The sequence below is a fragment of the Homo sapiens genome, chromosome 8 (genome assembly GCF_000001405.40).
Source record: "Homo sapiens chromosome 8, GRCh38.p14 Primary Assembly".
NCBI classification, from domain to species: domain Eukaryota; kingdom Metazoa; phylum Chordata; class Mammalia; order Primates; family Hominidae; genus Homo; species Homo sapiens.
The window spans coordinates 18,026,203-18,041,530 of record NC_000008.11 but is presented as its reverse complement, the minus strand read 5'-3'; the positions used below and the strand labels follow the sequence as shown (position 1 = coordinate 18,041,530).

Genomic DNA, 15,328 nt, shown 5'->3' with positions numbered 1-15,328 from the left:
GGAGATGGGGTTAGGTGGGGGAAAGGTGAGAGGGAGGGATTACAAAAGGGCATCGGGAAACTTTTGGGGACGATAGGTATGTTTATTATCTTGATTGTAGTGACAGTGTTACATGTGTCAAACAGCAAATTGTACATTTTAAAGTATACTTGATTATATGTCAATTATCCCTCAATAAAGGTGTGAAAAACGTATTGAGAATACATTCAACAATACAGATGGTTGGCTAGGTATTGGAGATACCATGTTGAACAAAAAAGACAAAGCAAGGTCTCTGTCTTCATGGATTTTAAGATATTAAGCAAAGAATCTTCCCTTCCATTTCTTTCATCAGTTTCCACTTCTGCCCACATACTTGTTCTCTCTGGTGATTCTTTATTGTGTGACAGGAGCAAACTGTTATCACCAACAGGATTTCTTAAATCATCGCCTCAGGTAAGGGCTGCTAGAGTTGGTTGATCTAACAGTTTGAAACTAGAGTTTGCAGCTATTTGGAATAGGATGTAATTTTCCTATTTCTGTTTACAGAGAAAGTTATAATCATTTTTGTGCTTAGAAAAAGCCCGTTCATTTTCCTCAGAAGAGCCAGCACTGGGTTAGTAACAAAGGCTCAATTCAAAGACACCTAAGAAGACATTAAGAAGAGTATGTGTTCTCTGGCTACAGGTGAAGAGGCTGGATGTTCTATATCTACATGTGGCTTTCTCTTTTCCCTGTGAACCTTGGGGTTGGGTGTGAGAGGATGTGAGTGGTAACTAATGGCAGGTCTGGGGCAAGAGTAATGAATGCCTATAGGATTGACTCAGGTGCTAAGGCAAATTCCTTAAACATACTGGGGTGCAGAATGGTTTGTATCAGTATGGATATGCACACAATCCACCAAAAAATGGCTGATTACAGGATCGGTGAGGCATTCATAGGCTTTATGTTTTTCTTTTCTTTTCTTTTCTGAGACGGTGTCTCCTTCTCTCGCCCAGGCTGGAGTGCAGTGGCGTCATCTCAGCTCACTACAACCTCCGCCTCCCAGGTTCAAGCGATTCTCCTGCCTCAGCCTCCCCAGTAGCTGGGATTACAGGTGCCTGCTACCACACCCGGCTAATTTTTGAATTTTTGGTAGAGATGGGGTTTCACCATGCTGGCCAGGCTGGTCCTGAACTCCTGGACTTCAGGTGATCCGCCCGCCTCAGCCTCCCAAAGTGCTGGGTTTACAGGCGTGCACCACCATGCCCAGCCCACAGGCTTTAAGTCCTGGCAACAGCTACTCTTGACTGGTTGGCAGCATCACCGTGAGCACTATGAGCAGGTAGGCAACACCCTGACTGGGGTGGAAGAGTTGGCAGACTGTGCCAATACTTATTTTCTTAAAATTTTTGTATAGTATCTGACACATCCAAAAGCATATAAGTAAAGTACAGCTAAACCATGAAGCACCATAATGAAACAACAGTATCAAACCCACTATCAACTCACTCACACTGAAATTACCAAGTTTCTTCTCATGCCTTTCTCATTATTCTCAGAGGGAATCACTGTCTTAAATTTCATCTTTAGCCCTTCCATGCTTAAAAAAAAACAGTGCATATGTATATATTCCTTATCCATGTATTAGTTGTTTTGAGCAATATGAAGATAGAATCATACATATATAATATTCTGTGACTGCTCCTTTCTTCAACATTGTTTTTAAGATCTGTCCATATTCTTACTATAGAAAAATTTATCAATCTTTTATGGATTGTTTTTGTGTCTAAGAAATCTTTTCTTACCTCAAAGTAAAAAATCTTCTCATGTATTTTCTTAATCAAGTTTGCTCTTTCACATTTGTCTTTAATTCACATGGAGTTGGGTTTTTATGTATGATGAGAGACAAGGGAGATAATTATATTCTTTTCTACATGGATAATCACTGAACGGCATGTAGTGATTAGTTCTCCTTTCACTACTACTCTATAACATCCTTTGTCAAGTATAAGACCTTATGTATGCTTGAGTTCCTTCCATTATTCAGTTTGTCCATCCCTGGACCTAGGTATACTATCTTTAAGCAGTATAGGTTTATGATAAGATTTTATATTTGGTAGGGCAACCACTGCCCCTTCGTTGCATTCTTTTGCTTCCAAAGTATCTTGGCTATTTGGGGGCATTTGATACTCCCTATTACTTTTAAAATTAGTTTATCAATTCCTTGAAAAACTATGTTGGAATTTTTATTTTTTTCCCCCAAGTTTTATTTTAGAATTTGAGGGTACGTGTGCAGATTTGTTAAAAAGGTATACTGTGTGGTGCTGAGGTCTGGGGTATGAAGGAATCCATCACCCACATTGGGTGAGCCGAGAACCCAATAGGTAGATTTTTAGCCCTTGATTCCTCCTGCTCTATCCCTTCTAGTAGTCCCCAGTGTCTTTTGCTCCCATCTTTATGTCCATGTGTGCCCAGTGTTTGGCTCCCACTTATAAGTGAGAACATAAAGTATTTGATTTTGTTTCTGCATTAGTTCACTTAGGATAACAGCCTCCAGCTGCATCCATGTTGCTGCACAGGACATGATTTTTGTTCTTTTTTATGGCTGCATAGTATTCCATGGTGTATATATACCATATTTTCTTTGTCCAATCCACTGTTAATGGTCATTTGGGTTGATTTCATGTCTTTGCTATTGTGAATAGTGCTGCAATGAACATACAGGCGCATGGGCCTTTTTGGTAGAATAATTTATTTTCCTTTGGGTATGTATCCCATAATGGGATTGCTGGGTTGAATGGTAGTTCAACTGTCAGTTCTTTGAGAAATCTCCAAAATGTTCTCTACTGTAGCTGGACTAATTTACACGGACTTTTGATTTTGATTGCATTCAATCTTTAGGTCAATTTGGGGAAAACTGAAATCTACACATTATTGAGTAGTATTCTCAAAATGTATTGTACGTCTCTCCATTTATTGAGATCTTCCTTAATGACTCAGAAAACTTTATAATTTGTCCATCTTTTGTGACATTTATTTTTATCTTGTATTTGTAAGTTTCAAACAATTTTAAATAATTTCAAAACATGGCTTATTAATTGCCGATGTATAAAAATGATTTTTAAATTATCACCTTATATAACACAATTTTGCTAAACACACTTTTTCAAATGATTTGTCTGTAGATTTGGATTTTCTTTGTTGACAACAAATCATCTGTGAATAATGGCAGTTTTTTTTCTTTCCAAATTCTTACACATTTTTTCTTGCCTGACAGTGTTGGGTAAAACCTGTAGTTCAGTGTGGAATGTAAGTTATACTTAGGGGCATTCATTTCTTTTTCATGGTTTTAAAAGAGATTGTGTCTAATTTTTTAAACTGCAGTTAAAGAAGTTCTCAAATCAATGAGGGGCATAGAGTCTAGCAACAGAATAGAGTTCCACATATATGCTCTTTCCTTCAACCTTTCTCTTTTAATTAAAGTGCCAGGGAAGAATGATGGTAAGGGTGGGGAAGTAGAATAGTGTGTGAGTTGATATACTATTGACGACTTTCATTGTACTTCTTCTCAATAGTGGCCTGATTACTTTTTTCTCTGTTATCACCCTTTTGAGCTTATCCTTAGTTTACAATTAAACTCGTTGACATGACATTTTCCAGTGGAAGTAGAATGTAGAATTTTTTAAATTCCATTGAAAAGCCACTATCAGAATTATTGCCAGCTATTATAATATTAAAGACCTTCAGTAATTATAATGTAAGTTCAGAAAGATTTCAAATTAACCTTTTCCTCTACCCGAACTTCTTTGTATAGTTTTTCCTTGATAAGTCTGCTGCTTTGCTGATTTGATACTGCATTCCACATAAAAAGAATCTTCTTACTTGGCATAGAGACAGCCTTCAAAGGGCTTGACCAGTCACTGATGTCCTACTTAAACCTTGTTGGAAATACAGTGTCGCTGGAAAGTTGACAAAAATTTATATGCCCTCCACCCCCACCCCAGCCAAAATATATATATACACACAGACACACACACACACACACACACACACACACACACACACGAAGAAACTAACCCTCTAAAAAATAGCAAATAGGAAACAGCACTGTTTTAGGTGGAAATGTAGGCAGACGATGGTGGCTGAACATTTTGATAATATTGTAGGCTATTCCCTGAGCTCCCATTTGATCAGCAAATTGTATACAGTCAAAAATGACAGACACTAATACTGTTCTTTCTCCTCTGCCCTACTCAACCAAACTCTGCAGTTACAGAGAAATACCGAGGGCAAGGTTCCATTCATCTTTGAGGCCAAAGTGTTGATAAGGTTGGCCCTGCCCTATACCCCTCTCACATCTAGGATCCTCAATAACAATAAATATTTTGTGAACACTTGGGATATGTGGCCATTTGGAGAGGTAGACAGAGTAGAAACCATTTGCTTTGAAGAGTTGACATCAAGTTGTTTTTGTTTCCCTTAAGCTAGAGGTTCATTGAAGCACCAGGCAGTAATAATGGTGGTGATTTAATAACAATTACCCCTTTTCTAGAACAACAGTGCATTTGGAAAAATCTACCTAATCCTTTCCCTTTTAACATATCAGTATCTGACACTGAAATAAGCAATGCTAGAATACTGTGGGTAGCTGATGTACAGCAAATATTAGGACGACTGAGTTATTATCCTACTGGTAAATGTTGTAGGCAATAATATACAAAGCTAACAAATACTGACCACCAACTCTGTGTCAGGCCTTGTTTGGTTGCTGGGGATACAGTGTTGAACAAGTTTGACTCCTTAACAAGGAGAGACAGATGTGAATATACTAATCATGATAGTTTCAGATGGTGACAAGTATAGGAAGAAAAAAAAAAAGAAAATGATGGGATAGAGAATAACTGGAGGGTGTGAGGCAAATTTGATGGAAACTACGAACTCACATAGGCTCAGTGAACCCCAAGCATGATACACACATCCACATACACACGGGCATATCATATTCAAATTGCTGAAAAGTACACATTACACACAGAAGAAAAATGACAGCAGACTTCTTTCCAAAAAACTATATAATGTTCATGGATTGGAAAACTCAATATTGTTTCCATTTCCATTTCCTCCAAATTATAAGTTCAATGCAATTCTAATAAAACTCCCAGCAGGTTTTTGGTTTGTGAAAACTGAAATTGAAAATGCAAAACATGAAAATGAAAAGAACATAGCCAAAAATGTCTGCAAAAGAACAAAGTTAGAGGACTTAACGTTTCTTTTTCTTTCTTTTTTTTTTTTTTTTTTTTTTTTTTTGGGGGAGCAAGATGAAGACAAACTTTATTGAGTGTTAGAACAGCTCAGAGGAGATTTTTTTTTCTGTATCCCAAGTCATCAAGCAAGGACTTACGTTTCTTAATTTCAAGACTTACTATAAAGCTATAGTAGTCAAGACAGTGTAATACTGATGTAACAATAGACATATAAATCAACAGAACATAACAGAAATTCCAGACATAGAGCCACACATATATGGTCAATTGATTTCCACAAAGGTAACAAGACAGTAGGAAAAGTCCTTTGAACAAATGAAGGCACTGGATTTCTATATAGGAGAAAAATAGAACCTGATCCTTACCTCATACCATACCAAAAAAAAATTACTTAAAATAGATGATAGAGCTTAAATATGTAGGACAAAGAATGATTATCCATATATTTTATATATATAAAGATTCTTAGAGCTTAAGATATTTATTGTTAGGATTTCTAGCAATTAAATTGCTATGCCAAAGACGGTACCTTGAACTTTTTAGTGCACGTTGCCAAACTACAGGTGGCATCAATTTTTCTGGACCTTTTAGTGGGAAATTAGGGCAGGGGTCTCTTTCCAGAAACCCTTAGGAGATATTCTTCAATTTGACTAACAGCCTAGTTTTTCTGAAGGTTTTCCAATGATTACTTTAAAATCTATTGTTGTATGTTATCATTAGATTCACTGCATTTTAAACTTAAATTTCATGTTAATTTCAAATTATATCAATCAACTAATATGACTTACCTATTAGCAGACTTGGAATAGATAAGCATATATTTCATTTTCCTCAGCTGAAACTTTTCTCTCTGAAAAGTACTATTATAGGAATATTCCACTGTTTTTGTTAAAACTGTTGAAGTGGAGAAGAATCCATTTGCCATAGTTAAATAAGATGTCCAATCCTTCTTAGTAAAACATACTGATGACCTTGAATCTCTCTTCGAAATACTCAAATTTACTTGTTTATGTAACAGATATTGAAAAATTTCTACATTCCAGGATCTGCTTAAAGACAAGAAATATTGCAGTGAACAAAGCAGAGAAAAATTCCTACCCTTAAAGAGCTTACATTCTAACTGAGGGGGTGGAGAAAGACATAAAATAAGTAAAATATTGTTAACTGTGGATAAGTAATATGGAGAAAAATAAGCTGAGGGCAAGAAGATAAAAATAAACTGTGGGGAGGTGCAATTTTAGGTTGGATACATAAAGAAGATTCACTAAACGTCTGCCATAAAAATATCTGAGGAAAGAACATTCTAAGTAGAGGTAACAGTAAATGCAAAAGGCCCTGCATGCAATGATGCCTGGCAGGTCTGAACAGCAAAGAGGTCAGTGTGACTGAAGCACACGGAAAATAAGAAAGGAAGAGGTAGAGAATTGTCCTGTAGGGCCTTCTGAAGTCATTTTTGCTTTTACTTGGAATAAAATAGGAAGCTACTGGTATCATCTGAACAGTATCACTTTGGTTGCTGTGCTGAGACTAGATTATAGAAAGTCTAGGAAGTGACGGGTCTGGCCATTAGGAGGCTACTACAGGAATCGAGGCAAGAGATAAGAGTGACTTGAATAAAGATGGCAGTGGAAGAGGTAGTGAAAACCAGCTGGATTCGACTTACTTTTTAAAGGTGTAGCTGACCATATTTACTGAAGGGTTGGATGAAGGGTTTGGGATACAGAGTTGAGCCACAGACAATGTCAAGGGGTTTGTCCTAAGAAAGTAGAAGGATGGAACTGGCACGTACTAAGATGAGAAGACTAGAACAATCAGATGTGGGGCAACCAACAACTCCGTTTTAACACGTCAATATCTAGTATCTATGTGAACCTTAACATAAACCTTAACATACTTCCATATGAATTTTTTGAATCTTACCATACAGAAAGACTCTAACGCCAAGGGTGGCAAACTAACTTAAAGTATCATTTAGTTGTTTAAGGTTGGAGAATGGACTACAATAACTGACTAGTTTTTCAAAGCCTAGGAGTGGGAAGAAAAACAGTTTATTGTAGTATCCTTCTTCTGTGTTGTCGACTAAGTAACATGCCCCAAAAAGACTTGAGGAACAAGAAGTCCCTGTTTTTTTTTTTTCAGGCAGTGCCACCATGCCAAAGAGAAGTCCAGAAGCCTCCCAAGTCATAGAAAATGGACAAAAGTTGGGGTCACCTGAATCCTTGTAATTTAATCCCATTTTTGTTATAAAATAAAGAGTTACTATGGTTTTTCACTTTCTTATTCGCTGGGACTTCAATAAACACCGATAATTATTTGTATAATTGCTCATTCACTAATTTCCATTTTTAATTCTTTTCGTAAGTCTTCCTTTGAAAATACTAAAAGCATCCTTGGATCTAGGATAATTCTTCCTGCATTTCACAGATAGGAAAATGAAGAACAGCAGGGTTTTTGGGTTTTTTTTTGCATTGTACATTTCCAAATGTCATAGAAACCCTATCTCTTTGTTGCTTTATTATAATACTGTCCAAATATTTCCTGGTAAGGAATTGTAGGTTAAAACCAAAAGCATTCTAACATATATCTAATGTATATATGACTGCTAATATAGATAGAAGAAAAAAATTGAACTACATGATGTTACATAAATTGAACTTTTGAATCCTGATAAGCCCTGGAAGAGTATAGAAGTTTTCTACATAAAAATTGAGACTGACCACTGAAACTACCAGATAATAAGCTTCAGAATTATATGAAATACAAAATACATATACTCATTTGGCTAGAAAACACCACCTGAAATATGCTTTTTTTTTTTTTTTTTAGCTATTATATACTCAAATTCAACAGAATTCGATGGGCCACAAAAATAAGTTATTAGTGATTTCTCTATTGAATATTTGTGTAATATAAATTTGACAACTGGTGGTGGGGGAATACAGAGAAAGGTAGGGAAGGGCAGAAAAAAGAGGCAAAATTACATAATCCAAGGTAAATTTGAAAATCATAATCCAAAAAGCTATTTGAAATACTGATTTTATAACTTAAAATTCATTATCTGTCTTAAATATTTTGGAGGGTAGAGGGAAGAGTGAGGGAATAGAAAGATTGGAAATGGCAAAGCTGATACTGGGGGGAAACTGCACATCTAAGATCCAAGATCCATTATAATGAAGGCCCTTTAGTCTCTGTCACCTAAGAAAAGGAAAATCTACAAAAAAAAGTATATAGGCAGAACATGTTCACAAAGGACACATAGAAGCAACTGTGGGTTCTGGTGGACAATCAGTATTTAAAACTCTGCCCTGGAAATTGATTTAATGATACGTTGGTTAGAACATTGAAAACAAAGCAAAACCACTCCACATTGAGCGTCCCAAACCCAAAGATCTGAAATGGTCCAAAATGCAAAACCTTGTCAGTACTGACCTGATGCTCAAAGGAAATGCTCACTGAAGCATTTTGAACTCTAGATTTGAGATGCTCAACCAGTATAATGTAAATATTCCAAAATCTGAAAGAAAAAAAAAATCCCAAATCCAGAACTTAATCCATACTGAGTTGTCTTTTTTCTCCAACATAGGTAATTTGTATAGCACTTATACTCAAAACATTCTTATGAGCATTATTTCATTGAATAGAATAACCTATACCTATTCCCAGTCTAGGGAAATTCTCAATGTAACTGTGAGACAATAGCTGATGGTCACACTAGTAAGTGAAATTTTTATAAACAGCAATGAAGATGGGATAAGTCTAAATTTGTGTCCATAGTCTCACTAAAAGTGGTTTAACACAAATGTTGACAACTGCTAGTGTGAAATGACATAGCTCTTTGCATCTTTCAAAGTATTTTGTGATCTGATCCACAGAAAAGCTCTAGGCAGGAAGCTATTTATTAAAGGTGAGGATTCCTAGCAAAATAATATTTGCAACTATATGATTTGTTTTAAAATTAATCATGTGATTTGTTAAACCTACATATGGGGGATAGCCAACTAACTACACTTTGGAAAAGTCTTAAGGCAAGAAATACATTTACTATGTAAAAGAGATATAATAGAACTCTGTTGCATAGAAACTTTATACTGTGATTAGTTTTTAAAACAAGGAAATCAAGAGCTCTTTAAATTGCTGCTCCAAAATTTATTTTGTAACAGATTTTTCTAAGCTTATAAAGAAGAAATGAACTGGTAATTAGAAGTGTACATATATATGTATATACACACACATACACATACACAGGCTGAATATTGTTCATCCGAAATGCTTGGAAATAAGTCTTTTGGATTTTGGATTTTTTGAATTTTTGAATATTTATATTTACTGGTTGAGCATCCCAGATATGAAAATCCAAAATCCCAAATGCCCCAATAAACATTTCTTCTGAAGGTCATGTCAGCACTTAAAGTTGTGGATTTTGGAGCATTTCTAACAATGGATACTGAATCTGTTTGTGTATACGTGTGTGGGTGCATGCTTGCGTGCATCAAAGTCATTTGTAGGCACAGAGCTCCCTTCTGTTCCTTAATTTTCAGAAAATGATACCAGTGAATCTGAGGAAGAAACCAGACATGTAAAGACAGGGACTGTAAGAGTAACAATTAGAGTTGTACAACGGGAAATGCTGGCTCTTCCAGTCAAGGTGACTTGGAAACTTTATTTGTGTAGTGAAATAAGGGAAATCTAGAGTCAATCTCTTTTTGACAGATGAGCTGATTAAAGAAAGTTGGACAGGCTTGGTGAGGTGGCTCACACCTGTAATCCCAGCACTTTGGGAGGCCGAGGCGGGTGGCTCATGAGGTCAGGAGTTTTGAGACCAGCCTGGCCAATATGGTGAAACCCAATCTCTACTAAAAATACAAAAAAAAAATTAGCCGGGCACGGTGGCAGATGTCTGTAGTCCCAGCTACTCGGGAGGCTGAGGCAGGAGAATCACTTGAACCTGGAAGGTGGAGGTTACAGTGAGCTGAGATTGCACCACTGCACTCCCGTCTCGGCAACGGAGTGAGACTCTGTCTTCAAAAAAAAAAAAAAAAAAAGTTGGACAAGAAACGAATCAGTCTATTTTTGAGTAAATGTAAGAATGTTCTCTCTAGAGTATATATGTTATTCATGCTTTTTATTTGCTGTATTTTATGATGCTTTGACATCTTTAAATGCTTGCTGATCAAAGAGGAACCACCCCATTCAGGGTCTGTCTCTTAGTGATAGCAAAGGTTCTTTGAGATAGCAAAGGTCTTTCTTAGCGATAGGTCTCTTAGAGATAGCAAAGGGCTCAGCCAGGAGCAGGTCTTTCATACACATACCTATCAATCCCAAGTCTACAGCCCCAACCACACTCATCTAATACTTGCACACTAAGCCACTATTTATCCATCCTAAATCATCCTAGGACAAGGTCCCAGAGAATCAGACACCATCCCTATGGCCCACCAGTATTATTCAAACTAGCCAATCTTAAACCATTTACTCTACCCCGCCTGGCATTTCCTAAGGAAATCTCAAAAAAGGATCTAGCTAGTCTTGCTCCTTGCTCCTGTCTTATGCCACGTGACCAAAATTTGGTGCTTTGCCCATGACCCTATATAGCATGTGGTAACTCAACCTCTTTTTTCCTTTGAGACAGAGCGTCGCTGTATCACTGAGGCTGGAGTGCAGAGGCATGATCTTGGCTCACTGCAACCTCCACCTCCCAGGTTCAAGCGATTCTCCTGCCTCATCCTCCTGAGTAGGTGGCACTACAGGCATGTGCCACTATGCCCGGCTAATTTTTGTATTTTTTCGTAGAGACAGGGGTTTGCCATGTTGGCCACACTGGTCTTGAACTCCTGACCTCAGGTAATCCGCCCGCCTCGGCCTCACAAAGTGCTGGGATTACAGGTGTGAGCCATCGCACTGGCGGTAATCCACTCTGAAGCCTTTGAGTATAATAAACTTACTTCTTTGAAGTTTATTCTTCCTGTGGCCAGTGACTTCTATCATACCATTATTCAACATATACTTTTTTTTGTTTTTGTTTTTGAGATGGAGTCTCGCTCTGTCGCCCAGGCTCGAGTGCAGTAGCACCATCTCGGCCCACTGCAAGCTCCGCCTCCCGGGTTCACGCCATTCTCCTGCCTCAGCCTCCTGAGTAGCTGGGACTACAGGTGCACACCACCACGCCCGGCTAATTTTTTGTATTTTTAGTAGAGACGGGGTTTCACCGTGTTAGCCAGGATGGTCTCGATCTCCTGACCTTGTGATCCGCCTGCCTCGGCCTCCCAAAGTGACATTTAAAGCTGTCAAGTCACCACTGTGGAACAAATTCTAAAACATAAATGAGCATGTGAATTTAAAAGAAAATACAATTCAGGGTTGTATACAGGATATATATTTATTAACAGTGAAAAAGCATTTACCCAAAGTCAATGTTACAAAATACAAAGAGTACCTCCACAGTCTGGCCAGCTCATTATTTTAGGCATTATCTCAACCTGCATAAAGTTCTCTCTCACTCATTTTGAACTTTTCTCCCTCTATCTATCTGTAACCAAAATTTTTAACTTCAAAATTAGGACAAATAGGAATACTGAATGCCTAACCCTTCAGCAATAGTTACTAGAGAAAACAGATTAAATAAATATATCTGCTCTCAAACCCTACGTATTTTAAAACTAAATTATCTACTAAAATAGAAAAACAATAGACTTAGATTAATAGCAGCTGTAACACCAGTCAAATAAGCAATTTTGATAAGGTTCATAGGTACTATGGTAATAACTAAGATATAAATACAATTTTTCCACTTTAATATGCATGCAGACAGAGAGAGAAACACAGTATGTAAGGCTGGGCTTGAGTACCAAAACAGTTTTTACCCTTTCCTGCTTAAAGTGGAGAAAATAAAGAATTTGAGTGTGCATGTAACATAACTTATTGTTCCAATTTCCCTGAAGTTAGTTAGAGCACCTGGATAAGAACTCCGAATTCTGAATTGGTAATTTTCTGAATAGGTTTTATTAAAGTTGAAGATATATTGTCTTCCATAATTTAAGTAGCAATACAGTAAATGTCCTCGCAGGGAAATCCTCATTTAATACTCCTTGAATGGACATTACACTGAGGTATACAGCAAGTTAACTTTTTTTTTTTTTTTTTTTTTTTTTTGAGACAGAGTCTCGCTCTGTTGCCAGGCTGGAGTGCAGTGGCATGATCTCGGCTCACTGCAACCTGCAACCTCCACCTCCCGGGTTCAGGCTATTCTCCTGCCTTAGCCTCCCAAGTAGCTAGGACTACAGGCACGTGCCACCTCTCCCAGCTAATTTTTTTATTTTTAGTAGAGACGGGGTTTCCCCCATGTTGGGCAGGATGGTCTCAATCTCTTGACCTCGTGATCTGCCCGCCTCGGCCTCCCAAGGTGCTGGGATTACAGGAGTGAGCCATGGTGCCTGGGCAGCAAGTAACCATTTTAAAGAAATACTCTCAACAAGTTCTTTTTTTATGGGGTATTTCAGTTGTTAACAAAGTTAAAATACTTATTGGAACTAATTCTTTGTATTTTATTCGAGGAAGAAGAATCTATAAGATTGACTTACTCATTGTTGACTGGTTTTTTGAAGCCTTACTGGGTATATGGACAGTTTGGGATAAAAAGCAAATCAATCACTTTTCAAAAGCTGACTTAAAGTCACATAAACTTTCAATACTTCACCTGCAAATCTGCTTCAACCTCACTACACACAAAAGAAACTGCTATGCTTTGGCTTTAAATTACCATCTCAATAGGCAAGTTTATCTGAAGGCATACAGAATCTTACTATTACAGAAATTTAGTTGTATTATTTATCCCCACTTGAAAAAGTTAAGTTTTTCATTTAAAATTAACCACAATGTTACTTCTCTGTGCAGAAATCTCCCTAATTATATAAAGCTTATTTTTTTTACTTTTAGTCTGAGGCGATGTAGATAAATATTTTCCAGAATTTCAAATCCTAACAAACAGATGATAATGATGTAAGTTCTAGATACTGAGAACCTATGTTCTAAACTTATTATCCAATTTCAATGGATTAATAAATATTCTATAATAACTTCATAGGTATCCTGGATATCTTGATAATCTGCCCTATTCTTGCACAGGAATAGGACCTGCAGGTATCTAAAAGAAGAACATCAGACCCAACAGCAGCAACACTGGCATTAGTTGGAAGACTGGCCTAATGGATGGGCTTTATAACAAATAATATATTTCTCTAACTAACTCTTAACCATTGCTCTTCTCTGAGCAGCCTAAAGTTATATAAAACATTGACTTGCTGTATAGAATTCAATATAATTTCCAAAAAAGATACTTTATAGATAAGTCCAAACTTTATTTAAAACTACATTTTAAATTCGTTACCAAACATCACAATGGGGAAAAAAATGAAGACCCAAAAAAGAAGGGGGAAAAAAAAAAAAACACAGTGTGTCAAGGCTTAAATCTGTCCAGAATTCAGTTTCTGATGTTTTAAACTACCATGGGGAGAAATGACCACACCTATCAAAAAAGCAGTGTCAAACTAATTTACATTTTTATACAGATCAGATGTTTATTTAGTATTGTTTTCATATATGCATTGAGTATGTAAGGACAGAGTTAGATGAGCCTCTGAAGACATCTCATATACTCTGGGCTCCCACCGTTTCTGAAAAACAGAATAAAAATGCTTTATAAATTACTTATCGAATTACTAGAATTTAACATTGTTCTCTGTCATTAAAGCTTTTACTTTTAATATAACGTTATTATAAAAGAAATCCTAAATTAGCTTGCTAATACAATTCCCTAATAGCACACAGTAAAAAAAGAATAGGTGAGGCGTTTCTGATTCAACAAGGCAGACTGAGCAGATACTTCGTGTCTCTCTAAAAACACTCCACTATGAAAAGAAAACAACTATAGAATAGAATAAATCTACACCAACAAAAGACTGGTTGTGAGAAAACAGAAGAGGGGATATCAACAAATTACCAGAATGCTCAATGCAGATGGAAGCATACCCAATGACAGTGGAGGAAGCTGCAGTTCAAACACTTGCAAGAGGCTGCAACTGAGAAGGGTACCATATTCTAACAGGTAGAAGTGGGCTGAAAACAGAAATTAACTGAAGGTCTGATATCTGAAGGGTCTTTCCTTCTCCTCAACTCCATTTCCAGGAAAAACAAAAACAATGAGATATCATGCAATTTTCATCAACTGATGAACTGATGGAGAACAACAAAAAGAAAACCCTTTGATCCTGATGCAAGAAACATTGAGTGGCTCCAGAGCTGTGTTATTAGACTCATACAGAAAATCTGAGACTATCGCTTGGCTCTACAATGAATGATATTTATATAGAAGCAACCTCAGAGAAGGTATAGAACCATTTAATTATATTACGAAAACAAAATGTAAGCGTATATAATAGCCTTAGTAATGTAAGAATATGGGTAAAACTGAACAGAGAACCAGGAAGAAAGCAGAGGAGGAGCAGCAAGGGATAATGACCAAAGTTGATGGAACAAAATGCACATATACTTAACCAAAATTGAAAGTAAAAAATAGAACAAACAAAAATAATATGAACACTGAGAGGAGGAGGAGAGAGAGGTAGGGCTAGATACATACTTGTCATCGGGTAGAAAAGAGGTATTATCTGCATCTTAAAAACTAAGAATCATAATATTTAGAGTTATAGTCTCCTAAAGAACTAAAAATCAATAATAAAAAGTGGGTTTTTGGGCTGGGCATGGTGGTTCACGCCTGTAATCTCAGCACTTTGGGAGGCTGAGGCAGGCGGATCACGAGGTCAGGAGATCGAGACCATCTGAGTAACTTGGTGAAACCCCGTCTCTACTTAAAAAATACAAAAAAATCAGCCAGGCGTGGTGGCGGGCGCCTGTAGTCCCAGCTACTTGGGAGGCTGAGGCAGAAGAATGGCGCGAACCTGGGAGGCGGAGGAGCTTGCAGTGAGCTGAGATCACACCACTGCACTCCAGCCTCGGTGGCAGAGACTCTGTCTCAAAAAAAAAAAAAAAAGTGGGTTTTTGCTATTTATAATATTTTTGTACCTTTCTTAAACCATGGGCATGTCTAC

The 15,328-nt window shown here is 37.1% G+C and overlaps 1 protein-coding gene and 1 long non-coding RNA gene across 26 annotated transcripts in view; one reads left to right on the top strand and one right to left on the bottom strand.

Annotated features, from left to right (window-relative positions):
* The first annotated feature begins 1,183 nt into the window (after positions 1 to 1,183).
* LOC124901894 (uncharacterized) lies at positions 1,184 to 7,543 on the top strand. The gene is made up of 2 exons (XR_007060836.1): positions 1,184 to 1,303; positions 7,365 to 7,543. It is a non-coding gene; the product is annotated as an uncharacterized LOC124901894 (long non-coding RNA).
* PCM1 (pericentriolar material 1) overlaps positions 11,583 to 15,328 on the bottom strand; it is a 106,961-nt gene continuing 103,215 nt past the window's right edge. For all 25 annotated transcript variants that reach the window (NR_148032.2, NM_001352633.2, NM_001352650.2 and 22 more), the window contains one exon: positions 11,583 to 13,894. Coding sequence is in view for 24 of the 25 variants with exons in the window: in NM_001352633.2 (NP_001339562.2) it covers positions 13,869 to 13,894 (26 nt within the window). In the remaining variant the exon portion in view is untranslated. The remainder of the gene's footprint in view (positions 13,895 to 15,328) is intronic.